This window comes from Homo sapiens, chromosome 18 (genome assembly GCF_000001405.40).
Source record: "Homo sapiens chromosome 18, GRCh38.p14 Primary Assembly".
In the NCBI taxonomy this organism is placed as follows: domain Eukaryota; kingdom Metazoa; phylum Chordata; class Mammalia; order Primates; family Hominidae; genus Homo; species Homo sapiens.
The window spans coordinates 23,246,202-23,270,398 of record NC_000018.10 but is presented as its reverse complement, the minus strand read 5'-3'; the positions used below and the strand labels follow the sequence as shown (position 1 = coordinate 23,270,398).

Sequence of the window (24,197 nt, the reverse complement as noted above, 5' to 3'; positions counted from 1 at the left end):
AGGGCTCTGCCCCTGAAGCAAACTTTTGCCTAGACATGCAGGCATTCCTACATATCCTCTGAAATCTAGATGGAGGTTCCCAAACCTCAATTCTTGACTTCTGTGCACCTGCAGACCCAATGCCATGTGTAAGCTACCAAGGCTTGGGGCTTTCACCCTCTGAAGCCATGACCTGAGCTGTACCTTGGCCCCTTTTAGCCATGGCTAGAGCATCTGGGACACAAGGCACCAAGTCCCTAGCCTCCCCACAGCAGGGAGCCCTGGGCCCAGCCCTAGGAAACCATTTTTTCCTCCTAGGCCTCTGGGCCTGTGATGGGAGGGACTGCCACGAAGATTTGTGACATGCCCAGGAGACTTTTTCCTCATTGTCTTGGTGATTAACATTTGCCTCCTTGTTATTTATGCAAATTTATACAGCTAGCTTGAATTTATCTCCAGAAAATGGGGTTTTCTTTTCTATCACATCGTCAGGCTGCAAATTTTCCAAACTTTTTGCTCTGCTTCCTCTTGAATGCTTTGCCACTTAGAAATTTCTTCTCCCAGATACCCTAAATCATCTCTCTCAAGTTCAAAGTTCCACAGATCTCTAGGGAAGGGGCAAAATGCCACCATTCTCTTTGCATAGCAAGAGTGACCTTTATTCCAGTTCCCAACAAGTTCCTCATCTCCATCTGAGACCACCTCAACCTGGACTTTATTGTCCATATCACTATCAGCATTTTGGTCAAAACCATTCAACACGTCTCTAGGAAGCTCCTAACATTCCCACATCTTCCTGTCTTCTTCTGAGCCCTCCAAACTGTTCCAGTCTCTGCCTGTTACCCAGTTCCAAAATTGCTTCCACATTTTTCGGTATCTTAATAGCAGTACCCCACTCTACCAGTACCAATTTACTGTATTAGTCCATTCTCACACTGCTAATAAAGACATGCCCAAGAGTGGGTAATTTATAAAGGAAACAGGTTTAATTGACTCACAGTTCAGCATAGCTGGAGAGGCCTCAGGAAACTTACAATCATGGCAGAAGGGGAAGCAAACACGTTCTTCACATGGTGGCAGGAAGGAGAAGTGCAGAGGGAAAGGTGGGGAAGCCCCTTATAAAACCATCAGATCTTGTGAGAACTCTATCACCAAAACAGGATGGGGTAAACCACTCCCATGATTCAATTATCTCCCACTGGGTCCCTCCCATGTCACATGGGGATTATGGGAGCTACAATTCAAGATGAGCTTTGGGTGGGGACACAGCCAAACCATATCACCATCTGTGGAACCCTCATCATCTGCTTTGAGAAAGGACCCAGAGTCAGCTTCATTTTACAGCTAAAGTCTGAAGCTTGGAAAGTTTTCATAATTAGCCCAAGCTCATTGGGCCACGGAACGGTGAGGAGATCTGACTATCTCTGACACCACAGATTTTCTCTGAACTGCTCTTGTGAGCCAACTTCCAGCTGACTGCCTAAGAGGGCAGCAATAGTTTAGCTAAGATTTAGAGTCAGTACTTAAACAATAGCTTCATATTTCATTATGGGAAGTAAGCCATGCAAAAGTGCTTTATTGTTGTAGTATGTATACACACACACACACACACACACGCACACACACACGCACAGCAGGCAGACAATGCAAAGGAAATATACCCTCCAGCCGCTTCCTACTAAAAATATGCTGTGATTTGTGGACCTGCAACACGGGGTCCCTAGAACGTCTAGTCCCATCCTAGTCCTGCTGCCCCAGCGTCTGCATTTAACAAGTTTATGCAGATTCCAGAAGCCCTGCTAGGAGCAGCATCTTTGCCTGCCTTCCATGTTCTGCTTGCTACAACCCCTCAACACTTGGATGGCTGTGACTCTCGAACCTTGACTGGAGAAACATCACCTGGGGAACTTGTTGCAAATATGGATTCCTAGACCCCACCCTCAGAGATTCCAGAATTCCCAGGGATTTGCATTTCCAAAGGGCACCCCAGGTGATTCTGCTTCAGCTAGCCCTACTAAGACCGCACTTTGACAAATGTTCAGCAAATACTTCTTTAGTTTTCCAACCAAATATTTGCTCCTGATCTGAATAGTACTGGTCTCTGGAAACTTCTATTGGCAGCAAGAGTAATCTCTCAAAGCCCAGATCTTCTGCAAACAGGAATCCAGATCAGAACTGTTTCAATTTGGGAATGTTTGTATAATAAATACCCATTTCTCCTCATATTCTTCCTCTCTGTGTCTTGACTTTAGTTCAGGACTTATACTTTGATTTAAAGGTGTGGTAGAGACTTCCTGCAAATTATTTTATTCACTATGGAAAAGATAAAAGGCCTGCTCTCTTTTCTGGGATGGCTTGGTGAGGCCAAATGGCTGCAGCATGTGGGCTCTGGGAACCCTAAAGAATGTGTCTCCCAAAAATGAGGCCCCCAGGACCTAAATGACCCAACTGGACAGCTGTGGAATTGTAGGGACTTCCCAAACCGGGTGGCCAGAAGACTTGCAGTTGAATTGAAACCATGGGATGTTGTGTGTGCTGAGAGGGGGACTCTGTTCAGTGCACATGGTGCGGGCCTGTGTGCCAGGGGCCTGAGGAGGCCTTGTGGGGAAAAGGGGCTGTGTGACAAGATGGGCAACAGGACACCCTAGTGCAGCCAGCCAGGCAGGGAGTGGCTGAGGACCTAAGGGAGCGCTAAGGAAGGAAAGAGGATGGGGCAGGGGACCCCAGATGTGAAGCAGAGGTGCAGAGGAACGGGACAGAGTCAGGGCGAAGGGAAGGAGGCACTTTAGGGAGAAGCTGGCTGAGGGCCGACAGTGCAGGGAGTGGGCAGCCGGAGAGCCATGACAGAGGCAGCAGGAAGAGCAACTGTGTGGCACAGAACAAGAGCTAGAGGAGTGTCCTGGGGGGAGGAAAGCAAGTCCCTATTGAGAAGATTGGGGGCAGGAAGTGGGCCGGGGTGGAGGGAGTGCAGAACAACCTAGAGAGCCACCAGGGCTGGCACGGGACAGGTGGAAGGGGCAGGAAGCGCCCGTTCAGAAGAGCCTATAGAGTCTGAGCTGAACTTGAGAGGAGCGTGGGCTTGGCAGTGTGTCATAGACACCCTGAAATTCACCTGCAACCCCCAGTGGTGTCCTGAGGCCATGTGCACGCTGGACAGCGGAAGAGACCGAGGGTGGTGTCAGTGAAGAATGTGGCTGAATCTTACCAGGAATGAGGTGAGGCCACATCGCGTCTCACAAAACTGCCCCCGGTTCCTCAAGTCAGCAGCAAGGGGCAGCCCCATTTTCAGCCAGGCTCTGGTTTAGAGCTCTCACTGTGGGGCGGCAGGGCAAGCACCTTCTTCTGGGTCAGGCCCCATGCAGATGCGGTTTAGGGCAGAGTGTGGGCACAGCTCTACCTCTGTGGTCTGTTGGTCGGATGCTCTGCCCTGGAGTGGGGGGCCTAGGCTAGGTGGGGACACAGACCAGCAGGCAAGGCAGCCCACCAGCCCCTCATCAGCGAACCAGGAGTCACTCCCTGAGCTTCGGCGAGGGAGCCTCTCTGGGGGAGGAGAGTGAGAGAATCCAACAAGCTGCTCTGCAGGGCGGGTGCCGCTGAGGGGGCTCCAAGGGCCACGTTTGAGGGCAGCTGTCCAGGTGAGTTGGCCAGGCGACCTTGTCATCACTGGAGAGGAAGCCTCAAGGCCACAGGGGCCTCATAATCACCCCATTGAGCTGCTCAAGTAAGCACCTGGGGGAATTTGGTTTCAAGAAAGCAGAAAAACACCTGAAGTCCATTTGTTGGCTAATGGCTGTGAAGCCACCTGGTTGAAGAGACCACTGTGCCTCTTCAAGGACATCACCGGTCCCAGCTCCTGCATTCCCTGAGTTGTCACCGACACTCTGCCTGAGCAGTGGGGGACAAGAACGGAATGGAATCTGAATGTATTTTATGGTCCAAATTTGGCCCTAGGCACCTATCTGTGCTCCAATCTCTTTCTCTATAAAGCAGGATTTGTTTTTTTTTTTTTTTTTGCTAAGAATTAAGTTCAATGGAGGTAAAAATAGTAATTGTTTTCATCTATTGAGTGCCTACTGTATGCCAGGCCCTGGGCCAGGGGTTTACTGTGCCATCTTCCAGAGTCCCTCTGATGGGAGGTACTATGACCCCCAGCAGGCATGGGCTGGCCAGTGGCTTGCATAAGGCCGCACGGTCTGCCTAGCTCTGGAACCTTTTCCTGCCTTCCAGTGCCTGCTCCTCCTAGTGTCAGCTGCCCCTGGGCTCCCTAAGGGCTGCTTCTGAGAAATGGCCCCTTCCGGCTGCATATTTTTCCAAAAACCGTTCTGGCCCCAGGCTTCCCCTGAGGCTTCCCCTGAGAGTATCTGTCACTCTCTCCAACACATACTGGAAAGAAGGGGGGAAAGTAAGCAATTCTCATTTGTGTCTTGTTTTTATTTTATAAATAAAAATGAAAATTGATTTCATGGAGAAGGCAGCTGCCTTAGGGAACATGGTATCTGGCTTAGACACTCATAGAACAGTATGTATGCTTCATCAGGGCCTTCTAGATAAGCCTCAGAGGCGATCTGCTTCCTTTTTCTGGAAGCCACGATTTTTAAAAAATAATTTATAGCAAGTGGTTCCGGCAGAGTGTGCCATCCACCCTCTCCAGTGGGGAGAGAGATTTCTTTTTGGTCATCTTTTATGATCAGCTTCTGTTCAGATGACCCTCATAAGAGAACTCCCAAGAACTCCAAAGTCTCAGTGGGGCCACGGCAGCTGTTGGGAGGGGTCTGGGCTGGTGGGAAGTGCCCATTGGGCTGCTTCAAGGCCAGGGTCATTGTAGCCAAACTTTTTTCCTTTCTGGTTTTTTTTTTTTTTTTTGAGAGCCATGTGATATTTTTGACTGTTCCTATCCATTCTTGGTGCTTTGGGGGGACGATTCCTACTGCTTGTTTCCAGAATGCTTTGGGGTTATAGACAACCCCAGATTGCCCGTACTTGATGAGACACCGTTTCCTACTCTGCCAACTGGGTGTATTGGCCAAAGCCACAGCATGAACTTGATGGCTCGTGCATTGGGAGAAATTGAGTGAGTTTAGTGAAGGAACTGTCCAAGAAGGGGTGGTGAGATCCCGGGACTAGCAGGGCCCCTTGGCTGGGGTGGAGGCTGGGCCGTGGAACACACACCCCAGTTCCCGTTCTCCTCCTGCTCTCTCATTTCTGGTCAGTGTCTCTCCTTCCAGAGCCTAACCAGAAGCTGGAGGGCAAGGAAACCTGGGTGCTGGGATCTGCAGAGTCAGCCCTGAGTGAGATGCGGATGTGGCTGGATATTTATCCCCACCCAAATTTCATGTTGAAAAGTAATTCCTAATGTTGTAGGTGGGGCCTGGTGGGAGATGTTTGGGTCATGGGGGTGGATCCCTCATGAATAGCTTGGTGCTGTCCTCACGATAGTGAGTGAATCCTCACGAGATCTGGTTATTTAAAAGTGTAGGCCGGGCACGGTGGCTCATGCTTGTAATCCCGGTAATTTGGGTGGCTGAGATGGGAGGATCGCTTGAGCCCACAAGTTTGAAACCAGCCTGAGCAACATGGTGAAACCTCATCTCTACAAAAAATACAAAAATCAGCTGGGCGTGGCGTGATGCACCTGTAATCCCAGCCTATTTGGGAGACTGAGGTGGGAGAGTCGATTGAGCCTGCAGCAAGCCATGATTGCACCCCTGCTCTCCACCTGGGCAATAGAGTGAGAACCTGTCTCAAAATAAAAAAATGACGGCTGGGCACGGTGGCTCATGCCTATAATCCCAGCACTTTGGGAGGCCGAGGCAGACGGATCACGAGGTCAAGAGTTCGAGACCAGCCTGACCAACATAGTGAAACCCTGTCTCTACTAAAAATACAAAAATTAGCCGGGCGTAGTGGCGCGCGCCTGTGATCCCAGCTACTCAGGAGGCTGGGGCAGGAGAATCGCTTGAACCTGGGAGGCAGAGGTTGCAGTGAGCCGAGATCGCACCACTGCACTCCAGCCTGGGTGATAGGGCGAGACTCCGTCTCAAAAAAAAAAAAAAAAAAAAAAAAAAAGGAATAAAGTGTGGCACCTTCCCACCCCTCTTGCTCCTGTTTTGCTGTGTAGCGTGCCTGTTCCCGCTTTGCCTTCTGGCATGAATAAAAGCTCCCTGAGGCCTCTCCAGAAGCTGAGCAGACACTGGCACCTGCAGAACCAGCAGGCAATTAAGCCTCTTTTCTTTGTAAATTACCCAGTCTCAAGCATTTCTTTATAGCAATGCAAGAACTCTCTAACACAGATGCTGAGCAGAAAGCTGATTCAGAGTTGCAGGGAACAATCCACCCAGTGGGGTAATTTGTTTTGCGATGGCTCATTTAACTCAACCAGTGTTTATTTGGTGAATTCTGTGTACCAGGCCCTGTGATAGGTGCTCGAGTTCATGGTGATGGAATCCAGTCCTGCTCTGCTGAACCCTTTGGTCTACAGCAGCAGTTAAGGACTATGGAGGTGCCTTTCAGCGCACCTGACACATCTGACTAGGGCCTGTGCTCTGCAAGTGGCAGTGAATCAAAGTCTTTCTGTGACATTTGGGGGCTGAGACATGAATAGTCTCAGACAGCTCGTAATCCCTGAACCATTCTCTGTGTGATGTGGCCATCCTTGCCAACTGACCGCCTGGCCAAGGTATGCTTGGCTTAGCCTTAGAGCAAAACAAATTTGCATTTCCTAGTCACACACTGATTAAAGGGACAGCAGCCAAGGAACACGCAGAGCGTAGGGCAAGGAGAATTTGTCTTAATTATAACACATGGTGGAAAATCTACACATGCACCACGAGACACTAGCTGGTGAAATGTTGGTGGACGTGAACACTGGCTGCGTTAAACCTGATTGTGATCTTTTACTTACTTTCAAAAGCCCCTTAGCTTACTTGTTATGGAAGCAAGTTTTCCAAACATTTCATGTTCTACCAGGGGGCTCAGACGTGGGCCCCACATCAAATGTGGAGGCCACTCAGACCCAAGAAGACGATGCTATGGATTTCGTAGCTCCAGATCCCTTCTCCTCTGCAGGGAAAAGGGCCAGCAGTGGCTGGGAAGGGCAGGGAGAAGGCCCTGTCTAACTGAGGGCATCAGAAGACCTCCTCTAACTCAAGGCCATCTCTCCAGCATCTGGCTCAGCCTCGCTTTGGCCCTCCACCATGTTAGTGGCTCTGTTTCATTCTAAGCATGAGGCAGGACAGGTGCTTGGGCTTTGGAATTATAGCTGGGTTTGAATCTTGCCTTTGTCACTTCATAATCGTGTGTCATTGGCCACCTTATGTGATGTTTCAGAGCCCCAGGTACCTCATTGTTTAAGGGTTAAATGAGGACAGGTGCATTAAGTGCCCAGCACAGGGCTGGCGCATGATATCTGCTTGGTGAATATCGAGTCCTCCTAAGCACCAGCCCCTTGTTGAAGACCGTGTCCAAGGCTTCATCTGCCTATCACAGTTCACGTCTCTGGTTTCTCACTAGCCTGTTCTGGTGCCCTGGTAAGGAGTCCCTGATTTCATTCCCACCCATCTTCTTTCCAAGCATCTAACTTGTCAGTTCTGGTTTCTTGGTCTTCACTTTTGGGACCAGACAATTGCTTCATCTTGACCCACTTTGTGATCTGTGTACTCGGCTAATTCCTGAGCACTGATTTCCAACCCTGCTGCCTTGGCCTTGGCCAACCCTGGGCCCACCTGGGGAATCTGTCTCTCCCCTGGAGCTTCCCTTTCAAGCTTCCACATTGAGGCTCATCTGGAGAACAGCCTCACGGCACCTGGTAAGGGTGCCTTGCACCTGCCCCCAGCAGGCTCTGCCCGACATCAGGAAGCCCACAGAACCCAGTGGAAGACACATTTCATAAGCGCTAGGTGGACGTCAATCAGTGTCAGTCCAAGCAAACTGGAGGTCTGCCCATTTGTGATGTCCCCAAGGTCACAGCTCTACAGTCCCCAGCTACAGTAGAGAATTGTGCTCCAGTGCTGTTGGGAACCCTGACTTGCCACCATCCTAACGCTGTATCTGTGAGCCCTGGGAACCTGGGATCCAGGCCTCATCTGAGCAATGTCCTTAACCAGCAGCTGCTGTGATGCACTGTAAGTTAGCTCTGTACTTGGGACCAATATGTTAGCTGTTGCTTAGTCCAGTTTACATCTTTTTGGCCTTGTGCACCCAAAAAATTGTTAGATGAAGCAGCTAGGTAAACACATGTCAAAACAACCTCTGAAGCTGGCACTATTCTTTTTGGTATTAAAGAAAAAAATTTAGATTTTTCTCTATACCTTTCTCTTTCCTAGACAGTTTTATGTCCTATGCTAATACGGAGGAATGGTGCCTCTCAGACTTTAACAGGCATACAAATCACCAAGGAGGAATGGTAAGATGTAGATTCTGCATCTTTAATAAGCCTGTAGGTGATGTGAATGCTGCTGATCCTTGGGCCGTGCTCTTAGTGGCAAGATGGTGGTGAGAGATGGCATATGGAAGCCCCAGCTTATGATGGTTTGACTTGCACAACTGTCAACTTTATGATGGTGCAAAAGCATTCCGTATAAATGTACTTTGAATTTTGATCCTTACCAGGCTAGCCATGTGCTGTATGATACCCCTTGGAGATGCTAGGCTGAATCATCTCACATAAAGCCTATTTTGTAAGAAGGTGTTGACTATCTCATGTAATTTATCAAATACTGTACAAAAGTGTTCTGAGTGTATTTGAGGTAGGAAAGGTTAAGCTGTGATGTTTAGTAGGTTAGATGTACTTTTTTCTTTTTTTTCTGAGACAGGGTCTTGCTCCCTTCACCCAGGCTGGAGTGCAGTGGTGTGATCACTGCAGCCTTGACCTCCTGGACTCTGGTGATTCTCCCACCTCAGCCTCCCAACTAGCTGGGACTACAGGCGTGTACCACCATGCCCAGTTAATTTTTTGTATTTTCAGTAGAGACAGGGTTTTGCCATGTTGCCCAGGCTGGTGTCAAGCAATCCACCCACCTCGGCCTCCCAGAGTGCTGGGATTACAGGTGTGAGCCACTGTGCCTGCCCCACCCAGCCCTTAAAAAACAAAATAGAGACATGGTCTTGCTCTGTTGCCCAGACTGGAATAAGGTGGAATGATCCTAGCTCACTGCAGCCTTGAACTCCTGGGATCAAGTGATCCTTCTGTCTTAGCTTCCTGAGTAGCTGGGACTACAGGTGTAAGCCACCACACCTAGCCGTACTAGGTGTATTGATGTTGTATAGATGATGTGTCATCTGAAGTCAAGAAGTCTGTGTGTGAGGAAGCACAGTACTCGCGAGGCATTTCTTTGTGGTTTTGCCAGTCTTAGGTTTGCAGCCTTTCTGGACTACCTATTTCGAAGTCTAAAGGGCCCTTTATGGGGTGGGGGCTCTTAGATAGCACCCCTTCCCATCCTGGCCTGGGTCCCTTCCGCTGGGCTGTGTGCAGGTGGCAAGAGGACCTTTCCCCTTCACCTGCCATTTTTCTTCTTTTCCAGCTTTGAATCTCAGCTTTGCTTTGCAGCTGCATGACTGGAAGCTGCTTTTTATTGACATTGGTGTTGGTGATGTGATTCCAGATTTACACTCAGTTTACTCCCTGCTCTTGCTGGCCCTCAGCACTGTGCTTACCCAACTGTGCCAACAGCCCCGGGGAGGTGACGTCAGGGCGCGCCCCCATCCCCAACCCCAAAAATCCCCCTTGATTTGAAAGATGTCTTTTGTTGCTGAACAGGTAACAAAACCACCTGGCTCAAATGCACTTCATTCTCCAGCCTCCCCCCACCCCACCCACTTAAGCTTGCAGCAGGGCAGAAAGGCTTCAGGCTCTCAGGAGTCACGGGAGGCAGCCAGGGCTGGGGAGGGCAAGGGGCCAGCTGTTCAGCACTAAGCCGGAAACGTCTGAGTGAGAGATAAAGAACTCAGCAGCCAGAGCATTCAACAGTTTTATTTGCTGTTGGGGAATGAAGGGAACAGGAAGGAATGACATGGAGGGGAAGGAAGCTCCTTACTCCCGTCACTAAGGTAGGGCACGTGGTACAGAGTGGCTTGTGTGAAGCGGCCGCCCCAAGCTGAGCCTGCAGCTGATAACCACAGACACCCTGGCAGGGAAATCTGTGATCGGAACAACAAAATGCCAAGGAAAACAAAACCCATTTGCATTTGGTATGAATTTCCTGTTTAAATAGGTTTTATTAGCGGGCAAGAAAGGAAAAGTGGTGACTTCAAGGTGTCATTGGGCTGGCAAGGGCTCGGGCCCCTGGAGGGGTACAGTGGGGGCTGGGCCACACTCCCTGCTGCCCGTTTCCTCCTGGGGGCAGCTGCAGCAACCTCTTGGCTTGTCTGCTTCCTGTCTCTTACCTAACAGTCAAGGCTCACTAGAGGAGTCCCGGGCCCCCTAGGCTGGCTCCGGGGGAAAAGGAATCAGGCAGAACCGGCTAGTATTATCCCAAGGAGTGTGGCTGGGCGGAGCTTCCCCACAGATCTCTGAGTGTGGGGAGGACTGGAGAGGCCTCAGGGCAGTCCTGAGAGGGGGCAGGGCTTACAAGGGGCTGAAGCTGCCCTCTGTGGAGGAGGTCAAAGGGCAAAACCTCAGAGCCAGTCTACTGCCTGGCCTTCTCGCTTCACAGGCTCAGACTTCCTCCTCGCCGAAGCCCAAGGCTGCGACGTGTCTGGAATGTTCCGTGTCACAGAGGTGCCTCTGGCAGTGACCTGCATCTCTCACCCTCCTCCACTTCCTTTGCCTCCGAAAAGCTCATGTCATGGACGTGCAAAAGGAGACCTCCTGATAAAATGCCTTCTCAGCCCCGACTCCTCACAAATAAATTAAAACCCACAAAACTGTCCATTCCACAAATCCACAGGCCAGGAGACAGTTTAAAATGAAAATGCATCTTTAAAAAGTAATGGACCACTAACTTCATGGGCTCACCTCATAAATGCTAAAAACCAAACAAATCACCCCAAATCCAAGTAAATTAGCCTGATTTTATCACACAGGAAAGGACTCAGGCTTCTCTCCCCACGTCTGGGCTGGCGGCCTGTCATCCATCGGACGTCCCTCCCCCCACCCCACTCCCCAGAGCTTGGCAGGAAATTCGGGGGCAGATGGGCAGTGGGGAGCTCTCTAGACCATTCTCAGATACCACAGGACCTGCTTCTCAGAAAGGCTCTCCCCCTGTAGGCACTGACCAGGAAGGTGGATGGCTTATCAGAGATGCAAGGTGACAGACCCCATGTGAGGAAGGCCAAGGGCATTTTGTAGTTCAGGCGATGGAGGCACCTTGAATATTTTCTCAATTTTGCTTTATAAACAGCAAGTGCCCTAAGTACCAGTTGATCTAGCTTTCGATCAGCCAAAGAGACCACATTAATCATATCCTCTCCCTCCTCCCTCCCCCCACCACCCAAATCACTGTCTTACAACTGATTCTGGCCAAGGAAATTTGTTAGCAAAATATTTAGGACTAAACTCAGTGCAATCTAAGATTCTGAAGAAGCCAAGTATTCTGTTTTGGCCCTCACCAGCTGCTGCTTGAATTTCTCCATCCTCCAAGACTGTCAAGAATCTGACAGCTCTGCTAACGAAAGCTGCAGACCCTCGGTTCGGTTCCATCGCCCTTTCTCTGGGCTGGTGTGTGAAGCTCCGAATCTGTGACCTCACTAGAATCAGTGTGCGCAAGGGGATCAGCAATGCAGGGCAAAGGTGACTGGTGAGACACACGTCTACACAAACGCATACAGGTATACAAAAAGCAACAAGAGTTTAATTCTCTTTTTACATGGCCACAGGCTCTCTTCAGTCAGGGGAACTTCAGCTGGTGCCTCTCTCTTGCAGCTATGAGGCGACAGTGTGGTGACATGCCTCATACAGACTGTCCCAGTAAGCCAGGACAAGTCACCATTAAAATCTTGCATGAACAGCCCTGGGCACGTGGGAATGTTAAGAAAGAGCCACCGCCTCCTTAGTCAGCTTAACCACAGCTCCAAACGCAGTTTGTCCCAGCTGGCAAACGCCTCAAACACCAATCATGCGTCGTGCTCCTATTCTGGGTTTTTATAAAACACTTTTATATAGCGATATAGATAGCACAGTAAATGTGCTTCTGATGCACTCTAACATAGAGGACAGGAATACACACTGTGGGGCGCCGCCCCAGCCATCTCCACAGTGGAGAAAGTGCGAGGGTTAAATACACGTGGCGGGGTGGCAGACGGCAGGAAGTTACAGAGCGCCACGCTCCACGTCCTTCCACGCGACTGACTCATCCAACACTCAGAACTCGCCTTCTTTATCCCCTTGGTGGGTAGGAGCAGTAACAAAACAATGTCAGTCATTTTCTAAGGGTGGAGGATGTCAAACTGTCTGGTACCGAGAGAGCAATTCTTATCCAGAAATCATCTAGAAATAATTGTTGAAGGTCAGCCTGACCCATGGCCCCAGGCTAAGGGCTGCTCTGTAAAGGGCGGGACTGGCTCTGGGGGTCTAGGGCTGATGCAGTATCTCTCAGACACTTGCACATTCACACACCCACACGCCCCAGGGGAAAGTGCACTTCCAATGCTGATACAAAAATAGATTGGCACACTCTTTGACACAATGAGGGTATCTTTTAAAAGTTTTCCCCCAACTTCTGCAGACTCTCTTCCCCCGTATGCTCAAGCCCTTCACACTCCAAGTTGGAACAGATCTGGAGAAGGCCCTGGACCACGCTTGCAAAGTTTGTGAATGCCGGGGAGAAAGACTGGGCTGGGGCAGCTAGGGATTCTCGCTAGTGGACAGAGGGCAGGGCCTCTCTGTTCTCAGCACACACCTCCTCTTCCCGTGCTTGAGGAGTCCATAGCTCATGGCTCCTCTTGGCTACACACCCAAGACTCCTTGGAAAGTTTCTAGTACTGCTTCTCCCCAAACTATGTCGAGAGGAAGAAAAGTCTGGTATTCTGAGTTCTACTTTTTTTCATTTCCAGTAGTAAGTAAGTGCTGCTCCACCAAGCTGAGAAGAAATGGCCCTTGGCTGTCCTCGGGGCCAGTGCTAGGAACTCTGGACCAGCCGTCTGTAGTGGGGCATGACTTCGTGCTCGGGCAAGTGGAGGGCGAATTCCAAGGCCACTAACACCGGGAATTCAAAGGCAATCAGTTCTCGCCTGTTCAGCCGGAACTTCTCTTCCAGTTTCTGCAACAAAAAGAAAATCAAAAGCATGTTCATTTTGAAATTAAAATCCTAGTCTTTCTGCAATTGCAGCTTCTCTATCCACCAGCCAGTGAGTGCTCAGGAGAAATCCACTTTGGGCAAAGCTCTGTGGAGGAAGAAAGGGAGGCACAGGCTGTGCTTCCTGCCTTCGGTCCTGGTTGTGAAGGAGCTGCTCCTTTCCCGAGGGGCTGCCCGGAACCACACATACATCTTATGACATCATTTAATCCTCTCAGGAATATGACATGGTTCATGCTCCGTATCTCTATTTTACAGATGAGAAAACGGGCTCCAAGAAGTCAGAGAGCTTAGCCAGGGTCACATGTGTAGCCAATTGCAGCACTAAGAGTCCACCCTAACTGGGACTCAAACTCTACCTGTGGCAACTAAGTGATTCAGGTTTAAAGGGAAGACTGAAAATAAAGCAAACCGGTGGTGGCTCACGCCTGTCATCCCAGCACCTTGGGAGGCCGAGGTGGGTGGATCACTTGAGGTCGGGAGTTTGAGACCAGCCTGGGCAACATGGTGAAACCCTGTCGTCTCTACTAAAAATAACAAAAATGAGCCGGGCGTGGCGGTGGGCGCCTGTAATCCCAGCTCCTCGGGAGGTTGAAGCAGGAGACTCACTTGAACCCGGGAGGTGGAGGTTGCAGTGAGTCAAGATTGTGCCACCGAACTCCAGCCTGGGCAACAAAGCAAGATGCTGTCTCAAAAAATAAATAAAAATAATAAAGCAAACCACGCACGACAATAAAAACCACGTGGTAAGTTCAGAAGGGAGTGCACTGATTCTATGTAGTTCAGTCCTTTCATCTTACAAGGATCTAAGTCCTCGGGAAGTCTCCACTTTCACAGTGCTACACAGTTGCTGTGTATCTAAACAGGGCTGAGCCTGGTGGCATCTTGCGTGCCCACCCAACTAGAGGGGCTGCTGGAGCTGGAAAGGAAGGAGAACCACCAAGGTGGGGATGGACAGGGAGGGCCTCATGTTTGCTCAGGCACATTCTGCCTTGGCGTCAACCCAGCTTTTGTCTTAATAAAATAAATCCTACCCACAGAGCAGATGTTGACTGCTTTCAGATCATAACTGGGATGAGACCTTGAGTTAGGTTTCTTGCTACCGTAAGTGGCTGGTCAAACCATTACTGTTATATTCTGCATCAATAGTGAGGAAGGCCTCACCCCATGTAAGGAAGGCCAAGGGCATTTTGTAGTTCAGGTGATAGAGGCACCTTGAATAAGGTAAAGTCAGCTTTTGCTGTGTGGTATATTGCTCAACTATGATTAAATGTGCATATTATTTATAATTTTATAAATATCTGTTACATCAAAAGATTCATTAATTCTTGGCCGGGTATGGTGACTCACGCCTAAAATCCCAGTACTTTGGGAGGTTGAGGTGAAAGGATAGCTTGAGGCCAGGAGTTCGAGACTAGCCTGGGCAATACAGCAAGACCTGGTCTCTATAAAAAATAAAAAAAATTAGCCAGGCGCAGTGGTACATGCCTGTAGTTCCAGCTACTTGGGAGGCGGAGATGGGAGGATTGCTTGAGTCTGGGAGGTGGAGGCTGCAGTGAGCTATGATTGTGCCACTGCACTCCAGTCTGGGTGACAGAGTGAGACCCTGTCTCAAAAAAAAAAAAAAAAAAAATCATTAGTTCAGCAGATGTCTGTATAAGCCTACTGATTCTCAGCTCAGAGTTGGTGTCCAATGGTCACTTCTGGGTTCATGTATTTACTGTATAAGCTAGATGATTTTGTACCATTTCTTAAAATCTGTAAAGCGCCGACCTAAAAAATACTCTTTTCAATTGGGGAGTACCTACCTTAGTGCCCTTTCTGCTTTTTTGCCTTTGCCACTGAAGACAGCTAGACAAGTGAGACATATGGGGGCACTGACTTAACCATGTCTTTTATTTTCTGTATTCTGATGCTTTGATATCTGGGGCCTTGCTGACTCTAGAGGGACTGCCCTTCCCAGGGTTAGCCAAATCCTCCACAGTGACCCCTTTTGCTCTTCAAATGCAAACCAACCAATCCAGATGCCACATTCCCACCACCTCCTCCATGGGCCTCACACTCCAGGCCACTATCCACCTGCCCTTATCACCCCAGAGCCAGGCACCAGACAATTAGGGACAGACCCTAGGCCCCACAGCCCATCAAAACTATTCAAACTAGCCAATCCTAAACCCACAAACCCTGCCTTACCTATTCCTTTCTGTGAAAACCACAATCAAGGCTCCCTCTGCCTCCCGACCAATTCCAGGGCTTCCATACACAGCCCCCACAGCATGGCATGCCCCTTGTTATGGGCTGAATGTTTGTGTCCCCCCAAATTCGTATGTGGATGCCCTAATCCTTCATGTGATGGTATTAGGAGATGGGGCCTTTGGGAGTGATTAGGTCTAGATGAGGTCCTGGGCATGGAGTGAAGGGATTCAGAGCCTTAGAAGAAGAAACCAGAGTGCTTGCTTTTTGTCTTTCTCTGCAATTAAGGATGGGCAAGAAGATGCCCATGAGCAAGGAGAGGAACCTCACCAGAACTGAAGCAACTGGTCCCTTGACCCTGGACTTCCCAGCCTCCAAAACTATGAGAAATACATTTGTCATTTCAGCCATCCAGCCTATGGTATTTTGTTATGGCAGCACCAGCCAAGATACTACTCCTCTTGGGAACTGTAACAAACTATCTTCTCAATGGATCTGTCTTCTAATCAGTTGGCTTTACTGTACCTCAAAATTTTCTATTAATATATTGAATTCTAAAACAGGCATTCATGTAGCCATCCAAGGAGATCGATGTTTCCTTGCTTTGCTAGGGCTCTCCTTTTAAAGAAAAGAGATACCACCTTGTCAAACTCACGCCTTTCCCCAAAGAGGAGCCAGCTAAGGAAGTAGGAAGCCAAGGTCTTACTGAAGCAACCTGTTTGACATTAGATGCTCTGTGGGTCACACTGCCTGGGGGAATCCCTTGCAGGTACAGTGGCTTCTATGGCTGTGGGAATGATTGCATCTCACATGGTGTCTGAGAATGGACTTTGAGGGCCAGACCCAATGCTGAGGAGCTTTGGTCTTGTCAAAGTAGATCATCCCTATGTTTTAAGATAGCCTGACTATTCCCACTATGGGAAAGACTTCATAGCCTTCACCTCAATTGCTGACTAAGGATCAGAATCCTTCCAGGCAGGGTCACTGACCGAATCCTTCTGAGAGAGGAACCCCGGACCGGAGCATGTGCTCCTCCAGCCACCAGGAAAAAGGCTACTTACGTCAATTAAATGCTTGACTTCGTGTTTTTTGAGGTCACTTCCAATTTTGGCTGCTAACAGCACACATGCCCCAGCACACAGCTTCCGGTTCTGTTTGTTGAGTTTCCCCTTGAGGGCGAGCTTTTCAAAGTAGACGAAGGCCATGGCCACCGTGGGCTCCTCAAGGCCACAGTCCTCCTGCGCAAGCTTCCGCATCTCTCGTTTCAGACTGGAGAAAGACAGGCAAGAGGGAACAGTCTTGTGAAAACTTAGAGTTTCAGTGGACAGAAAAACTCCCCCATCTTGAATGCTTTTTCTCTTTCTCTTTCCCAGAGGGTGATCTGGACTGGGATTAAGTCCCTGGGAGTGTGAAGGCTGCGTTATGCATGGGGAGCAGATTTACATAGCTGGGCTTTGGCCTCTTCTCTGTTGGTCAGGTCGTATAAAACATGTTTACTTTTTTTGTTTTTCTTTTGAGATGGAGTCTCACTCTGTTTTCCAGGCTGGAGTGCAGTGGCACGATCTTGGCTCACTGCAACCTCCACCTCCTGGGTTCAAGCAATTCTCCTGCCTCAGCCTCCCAAGTAGCTGTGCTTACAGGCGTGCACCACCATGCCTGGCTAATTTTTAAATTTTTAGTAGAGACGGGATTTCACCATGTGGGCCAGGCTGGTCTCAAGCCCCTGACCTCAGGTGATCCGCCCACTTCGGCCTCCCAAAGTGCTGGGATTACAGGTGTGAGCCACCATGCCCGGCTGTCCTTTCTGCTGAATGTGACAATGACTCAATCACTGGAACCACAGGAAGGACCACTGGACAGATGACAAGCTTACGGTGTGTGGAAAGAGGGGTTTGCAGGGAAAGGTCACAGGCAAGTCCAGCCTCCCGTACCTCCTAATTTTGCTGAGTGTCAGCTTAATGTGAGGAAACTTCTCCTTGAAGGTCTCGTTCATGTCCTTCTTGAGATCCGAGGGCTTCACGTAGTCAATCACTGTTGTCTGTAACAGACAGGGGAACACGGATCACTCCTTAAAACAAGGGTCGTATGTAATAATTATGCACCAACTACGACCAACTTACAACTCCCAAAGCCATGAGCAACGGGAAAACTTGCATTGGAGCTACAACAAGGGCTCGGCGGAATCCAGGAGCCTGAAGGGGACTGTGGCCTTCTGGAGGCGAACGGAAAACAAGTCACCACTATTAGGATGAGGTGACACTTAGGAAAGCCGGCCTGTAGACCATCAGAAGTCAGTGCCTGAGAGGGAGGGGTGCCTGTGTCAGTTCCCAGGTGTCAGCCTGTTCACACGGTATGGGGCTTAAGCGCGTGGGGCTTGGATGTGCACAGACCTGGGTTCAATCTCCACTTGACCATTCACTAGTCTGACGGCTTTGGGAGACTTCAAATCACCCCAAATCTCAAGTCCCATGTCTGTAAACAAAAAACAGTAACAGTGCCTACTTCACGCAGCTTTCTGAGAACTGTATGAGAAGTGCCCTGTACAGTGCCTGGCCTACAGCAAGTGCTCAATACATGTTAGCTAATGTTCTTTTAGTTTTTTAAATGGTGGTAAAATACACATCACATACAATTTACCATCTTAACCATTTCTAGGCGTACCATTCAGTGGCATTAAGAACATTCGCATAGTTGTGCAGCCCTCACCACCATCTGTCCACAGAATCTTTTCATCTTCCCAATTGAAACACTCTGCCCATTAAATGCCAACTCCCCATCCACTCCCTCCAGCTCCTGGCAACCACTACTCCACTTTATGTCTCTATAAATTTGCCTTATGTAAGTGGAATCGTCTATTTGTCCTTTTGTCATAGGCTTATTTTATTTAGCATGGAGTCTTTTTTTTTTTTTTTGAGACGGAGTCTCACTTTGTTGCCCAGGCTGGAGTGCAGCGGTGCAATCTTGGTTCGCTGCAACCTCCGCCTCCCGGGTTCAAGCGATTCTCCTGTCTCAGCTTCCTGAGTAGCTGGAAATACAGGCGCCCACCATCACACCCAGCTAATTTTTGTATTTTTAAGAGAGACTGAGTTTCACCATGTTGGCCAGGTTGGTCTCGAACTCCTGACATCAGGTGATCTGCCTGCCTCGGCCTCCCAAAGTTCTGGGATTACAGGCGTGAGCCACCGCGCCTGGCCTACTATGGAGTCTTCAAGGGTCAATCTCATTGTAGCATGTGTCAGAATTTCCTTTAAGGTTGAACAACATGCCACCATATGTATATAATGGTAACCAGTAAGTCTTTGGAAACTTGAGTTTCCTCCTCCCTCCTTCCCTCTTTCTAAATTGGAGAAATCCTTAAAGGATCCTTGGAGTCCTTTCTGAATACCCTGGTCTTCCTTGCTCCTCTGTACCCTGCACTGTGAACTCTGAATTAAACAATTTTTTTCTGGGTTTCCTCCAGTTCATCTCATCCCTCCTCGAGAGTATACTTGCCAAGGCTGGGTCTTTTTTGGCTGACTACACGCCATAATCTTTTTTTATTTTTTTTGAGACGGAGTCATGCTCTGTTGCCCAAGCTGGAGTACAGTGGCGCAATCTCGGCTCACTGCAACCTCCGCCTCTTGGGTTTAAGCAATTCTCCTGCCTCAGCCTTCCGAGTAGCTGGAACTACAGGCATGTGCCACCTTGCCCAGCTAATTTTTGTATTTTTAGTAAATGGGGGTTCGCCATGTTGGCTGGGCTCCTCTTGAACTCCTGACTTCAGGTGATCCACCTGCCTCTGCCTCCCAAAGTGCTGGCATTACAGGCATGAGCAACCGTGCCCGGCCTACATGCCATAATCTTAATCAGTCAAAGCTCAGGAAAGAAGAAATGACAGATTTTGATGTGAAGGTCGATTCCCTGGATGACTCATGCCCGCAAAGCCCATCAAAGGTTTCCTTAACAGCTCTAATGGAAGTTGGTGGCTTTCTCTGGACACCTCCATTTATAGGACACAGGATTTTAGCACAGACATGTACAATGTCTTTGGTGTCAGTTAGTAGCAAGGAGGAGGCAAGCAGCCAGCACATCCCCGTTCAAGTGATCTTGATGGTCCTCTCTTTGCTTCTCTGGTGAATAAAGGCAAAGCACAGCAATATTAACTCCAACAATTCCACCAGACCTGTTCAGAGTTTTCGAACACTTGGCTGGAAGAGGACTTGGTGGATGCAATGCCACTTCTTCCTCCTCTGATACATAGTCTTTCTGGCCCAATCAGGAAGGTCTCCTGACCTGGTCCAGATGTGGCCATTCTGGTCCCGGCTAACCACATGCCCTGCAAGGACCAGGAAAGGGGCAGCCCAGCTGTGCAGGGCCACAGTATTTGGACACTGCTCTCACTGCCAAGGTCCAGCAGAGTGGACCCCTGTGGCAGCCCTCCAAGACAGGTTTATTTCCCTTCTACTTTTAAGAAAGGCTCTATTTCATCTCCAACAAATGTCTCCTCTGGGTTAAATCTCTGGGTTGAAGGGGACGTAAGATTTCATTTTGGAAATAGGCAGTAGAATGGGGGCCACATCTAACATGCTCGCCTCAAGCTGGGAGGGCCCATCAGCCAACCCTCCTGTTTCCCAAGTCATCAGCACCTTCCTCCAGCTTCTCAACCCCTCACCCCCCAATCCAGGCACCCTGAACTCCCAGAGACAGGCCGCTTCTACTCTTCCTCTACAGAGGAAAGTCATGAGGTTTGCAATGATGTGAGCAGGCTCAAGTAAAGTCATCTGCCTTTGTTGGGGGCCTGACGCCCTGTGAGCACCAGCAAGGATATCCTGCTGCTTAACGATCATGTGGATTTTCAGGCTGGGTTCTGTTGAAGTGCCTGTGGGAGGGGACTGGATCTCTCCTCGCAGCAACCACAGCAGCTCTGCTTTGCTCCATCTTATTTGTAGATATAACACTTCCCTTGAAAGAGAGCTCTCACTGCTTAAATGTGCAAATATACAAATGTGTCCCACCTCTGTTTGCAACAGAGGCTCAGAAAAGTGAAAAGGCTCACCCCAGACCTGAGTGAGCCGCAGGCAGGGGCCAGCGCTGGGATCCTGGTCTCCCAGAGTGGCTGCTTCCAGCTCGTGCCCCATGCACTGCCTTCCTGCTTTTCTCTCCTTCATGGTACTGAATAAGCAGCACAGAGTAGCTCCCTAGACAAGGGCTCTCACCAGGATGTCCGAGAAGATCGCTAGCAGTGGAAAGGGCTGTCGGGGGCGGGGGGTCAGGTCCACCTTCAGCAAATCAGGCAACAGGGAGAAAGTCACTCAACCTCCCTGAGCCTCACCCTCATCCTCCAAAACGAGATGAGATGAGAAAACCTGATGGGGCTGCTTCCCAGGTTTATCTTGAAGATCAAAGAGAACAAAACGTACGTAAAAGACGCTGAAAAATTTCATCAGGAGCACAAAGCAGGAGACGCAGCAAGTCTGGACTCTGCTCCAGCCCCACTGAGTCACAGTCTCTGAGGGTGGGGCCTCGCACCTGCACCATGACAAGTTTTCCAGCTGATTTCTATGTGCCAAAGACCCAGGGCTTCCAAATCAGATTCTCCTTGTCTGGCTATTGCCCACTCCTGGTTTGGCCACTTCTGCAGGCTCCTCCTCCTAAACCCCCGGGGCTGAGGCTGCTTCTCCCCAGGACTCGCCTCCATTCTACTCTATTATCTGAACATCCAACCTCCTCCTGGGATGCCCTGTTGTGCTACGGAGGCTGGAAAGCTAACAGTTACACTTCCCTGACTCCTTTGCAGCTAGGATTCCAAAAACAATTCTGGCTCCTCCTATTGGATGCTCTGATATGTGAAGGCAGGGCTGGAGCAAGGGCTGTGGTTCTGCTGTTTCTGCTGCCAAGAGGCTCAGGGCAGGAATCCTCAAGTCCTGTCACTAAGCTTCTGGGTCCTCATTTGGCAGGTGTAGAGCACAGCAGAGCAGCACGGATCTGGAGCCAGCAGCCAGTGCCAGCGCCAGTTTCCCAAGTCCAAAGCCAGAGTCCTGGTCCCAGGCAGCTGCAGCCTCCTGGGTGGCACAGTTCTACAGTGTGGCTTGTGGATCATTCCTGAAATGCCAACTTAGGTTATTCTGTCAGCCTCCTCAATGATTCTAGTAAGTAAGGTGTTTATTAGATACCTTTCTTCTTCTTTTTTGTTGAGATGGAGTTTCGCTCTTGTTGCCCAGGCTGGAGTGCAATGGTGTGATCTCAGATCACTGCACACCCTGCCTCCTGGGTTCAAGCGATTCTCCTGCCTCAGCCTCCCAAGTAGCTGGGATTACAGGCATGCGCCACCACACCCACCCAGCTGTATTTTTAGTAGAGATGGGGTTTCACCATGTTGGTCAGGCTGGTCTCAAACTCCTGGCCTCAAGTGATCCACCCGCCTCGGCCTCCCAAAGTGCTGGGATTACAGGCATGAGCCACCACGTCCAGCCTTTTTTTAAAAAAAAAAAAAAAAAAAAAAAAAAGACATAGGGTCTTGCTACATTGCCAGGTGGGACGCTAAATCCTGGGCCAAGTGATCCTCCTGCCTCTGCCTCCTGAGTGGTCGGGGCTGCAGACCTGCGCCCCTGCACCGGCTCCTCTTTCTTCTTAAACTTGCTAGAGTGGATGCTGCACTTCAGAACTGAACCATGCCTGCTGCACACGCTGTATTCTGCTGATTGCATTTACCACTACTGAAACTGAACCTGGCTCGGTGAAGGCGGGGACAGAGAAAGAGCTTCTGATCCCCATAAAGGCACTGACGATATCCGATCCGTTGAGTCTGAGTCCTGCCCCTGCCCCTGCGCCACACTCCCTGACCCATTTTTATTTAGAGGACCCCTGAGAGCCAACAGCTCAGCTCAGCCTGCGGCTCTGGAGGGGGCAAGGGTGGCAGAGCGCGCCAGGCCCACTCTGGCCCGGGTCTTGCGGGAGAGGCTCTGTCTTTTTTACAAGCAGCCTTGTCCTAGCTCTTGGGGTCTGCAGCTGGGGACTCCGTTTCCTGACAGAGAGGCGGGGAAAAATCCAAGCTAGGCCCTGGCAGGGAGTGGGCAGGGAGGGCCCATGAGCAGATGCTGCGAGACCCTTGGCCCAGGGAGCCCAGTGCTTGGCCCCGCGTAAGTGGGGAATATGTGGCAGCACCAGGAGGACGAGGCTCTCCAGTCATCTTCTAGGTGACAGACTCTTCTGCATCCCGGCCTTCTGTCCTGGCCTCCTGTCTGCTGTGCTCTCTTCAGTCTTGCTTTTGTCCCTGCTTCTCTGAGCTGCGGCTCAGTGGGGAAGAACACAGGCTCAAGAGCCAGAGTCCTGGATTCAAACTCCAGCTCTGACACATGGTGCCCGGCGGCCCAGTGCACACTGGTTAGGAGCTCTGTGCCTCCGTTTGCTCCTCTGGCTTCTCCAGCATCCACTTGATGTCGACAGCGGCAGGCACCTGATCTGTGGGGCTGTTCCGTGTCCTGCTCCCGCTCAGCTGCATGGGATACACAACTGCCACAGCGGACCAGGCAACCCCCAAAGTGGCACTGGCTGCCAGATCCTGGCTTGGAAGGGGCCCAGCACATAAGCTGCATCTTGAGGCCACTGCTCTGCACCAGCCCCACACTGTTCAGAGTATGGAAACTGGACGGATCACTCTGAGCCCAGGGCCACCCTTTCCAGGCAGGTTCCAGAGGGGATGACAGTCCTCGATGTCCTCTCAGCTGCAGGTCCTTCTGAGAAACACTCTCTGGTGTACAGGAGGTCATGATTCTCCGGCACATCCTGTCTTGAGGGAGCCTGATGGTGGCCCTTAGAGGCCGGGCCTCCCAACCATGCCAAGAGATGGCATCCTCTCTTTAGTGCTGGGGGTGAGCTGGGGAGGCTGTACTAGGAGATTGAGCCACGGCAGTGGGATTACCACAGCCCCTCAGCCACTCATTCTTTCTGGTGTGGGACTGAAGAAATGAAAAGTCAGGCCAATGCTTTATTCAGGTTTGAATTGTATGAATTATAAAAACTTGCAAGCTGGGCATGGTGGCTCTTACCTGTAACCCCAGCACTTTAGGAGGCTGAGGCAGGCAGATCACTTGAGGTCAGGAGTTCGAGACCAGCTTGGCCAACATGGTAAAACCCCGTCTCTACTAAAAATACAAAAATTAGCTGGGCGTGGTGGTGCATGCCTATAGCCTCAGCTACTTGGGAGGCTAAGGCAGGAAGAATCGCTTGAACCTGGGAGATGAAGATTGAAGTGAGCCAAGATGGTGCCACTGCTCTCTAGCCTGGGTGACAGAGTGAGACTGTCTCAAAAACAAAAACGAAAAAACTGGCCGGGTGCGGTGGCTCAAGCATATAATCCCAGCACTTTGGGAGGCCAAGGTGGGCGGATCACAAGGTCAGGAGATCGAGACCATCCTGGCTAACACGGTGAAACCCCATCTCTACTAAAAACACAAAAAATTAGCCGGGTGTGGTGGCGGGTGCCTGTAGTCCCAGCTACTTGGGAGGCTGACGCAGGAGAATGGCGTGAACCCGGGAGGCGGAGCTTGCAGTGAGCCAAGATCTTGCCACTGCACTTCAGCCTGGGCGACAGAGCAAGACTCCGTCTCAAAAAAAAAACCAAAAAACAAAAACTTGCAATGCCTGGGTTTTGCCAGTGCATGCTACTGTAAATCAAAGTGCTAATTAAACAAGCAGCGACTCCTTCTTGGCCTGGGACAGTCTGAGTGACCACTGTTTTCTTTTTTTTTTTTGAGATGGAGTCTCACTCTGTCACCTAGGCTGGAGTGTGCAGTGGTGTGATCTCTGCTCACTGCA

General features: G+C 50.1%; 2 protein-coding genes across 6 annotated transcripts in view, besides 4 other annotated features; one reads left to right on the top strand and one right to left on the bottom strand.

Moving 5' to 3' along the window:
- Window positions 1-24,197, top strand: part of SLC35D4 (solute carrier family 35 member D4) — a 199,440-nt gene that overhangs the window by 167,563 nt on the left and 7,680 nt on the right. The gene's annotated exons all lie outside the window — the stretch shown is intronic.
- Window positions 3,027-3,116: an enhancer, noted in NCBI's record as "active region_13152". NCBI's record gives its function as "activates an Ori minimal core promoter by ATAC-STARR-seq in GM12878 lymphoblastoid cells {active_cell/tissue: GM12878}" and the evidence as "EXISTENCE:reporter gene assay evidence [ECO:0000049][PMID:35858748]".
- The window catches only part of CABLES1 (Cdk5 and Abl enzyme substrate 1), a 125,907-nt gene continuing 111,638 nt past the window's right edge, over window positions 9,929-24,197 (bottom strand). For all 4 annotated transcript variants that reach the window (NR_023359.2, NM_001256438.1, NM_001100619.3 and 1 more), the window contains 3 exons: window positions 17,333-17,439; window positions 16,463-16,670; window positions 9,929-13,172 (listed from right to left, as the gene is read on the bottom strand). Coding sequence is in view for 3 of the 4 variants with exons in the window: in NM_001256438.1 (NP_001243367.1) it covers window positions 13,032-13,172; window positions 16,463-16,670; window positions 17,333-17,439 (456 nt within the window). In the remaining variant the exon portion in view is untranslated. The remainder of the gene's footprint in view (window positions 13,173-16,462; window positions 16,671-17,332; window positions 17,440-24,197) is intronic.
- Window positions 10,437-11,100: an enhancer, noted in NCBI's record as "H3K27ac-H3K4me1 hESC enhancer chr18:20839263-20839926 (GRCh37/hg19 assembly coordinates)". NCBI's record gives its function as "activates a minimal SCP1, AML or CMV promoter by ChIP-STARR-seq in naive H9 embryonic stem cells {active_cell/tissue: H9 hESC(naive)}" and the evidence as "EXISTENCE:reporter gene assay evidence [ECO:0000049][PMID:30033119]".
- Window positions 10,757-10,806: an enhancer, noted in NCBI's record as "active region_13151". NCBI's record gives its function as "activates an Ori minimal core promoter by ATAC-STARR-seq in GM12878 lymphoblastoid cells {active_cell/tissue: GM12878}" and the evidence as "EXISTENCE:reporter gene assay evidence [ECO:0000049][PMID:35858748]".
- Window positions 20,087-20,588: an enhancer, noted in NCBI's record as "H3K27ac hESC enhancer chr18:20829775-20830276 (GRCh37/hg19 assembly coordinates)". NCBI's record gives its function as "activates a minimal SCP1, AML or CMV promoter by ChIP-STARR-seq in naive H9 embryonic stem cells {active_cell/tissue: H9 hESC(naive)}" and the evidence as "EXISTENCE:reporter gene assay evidence [ECO:0000049][PMID:30033119]".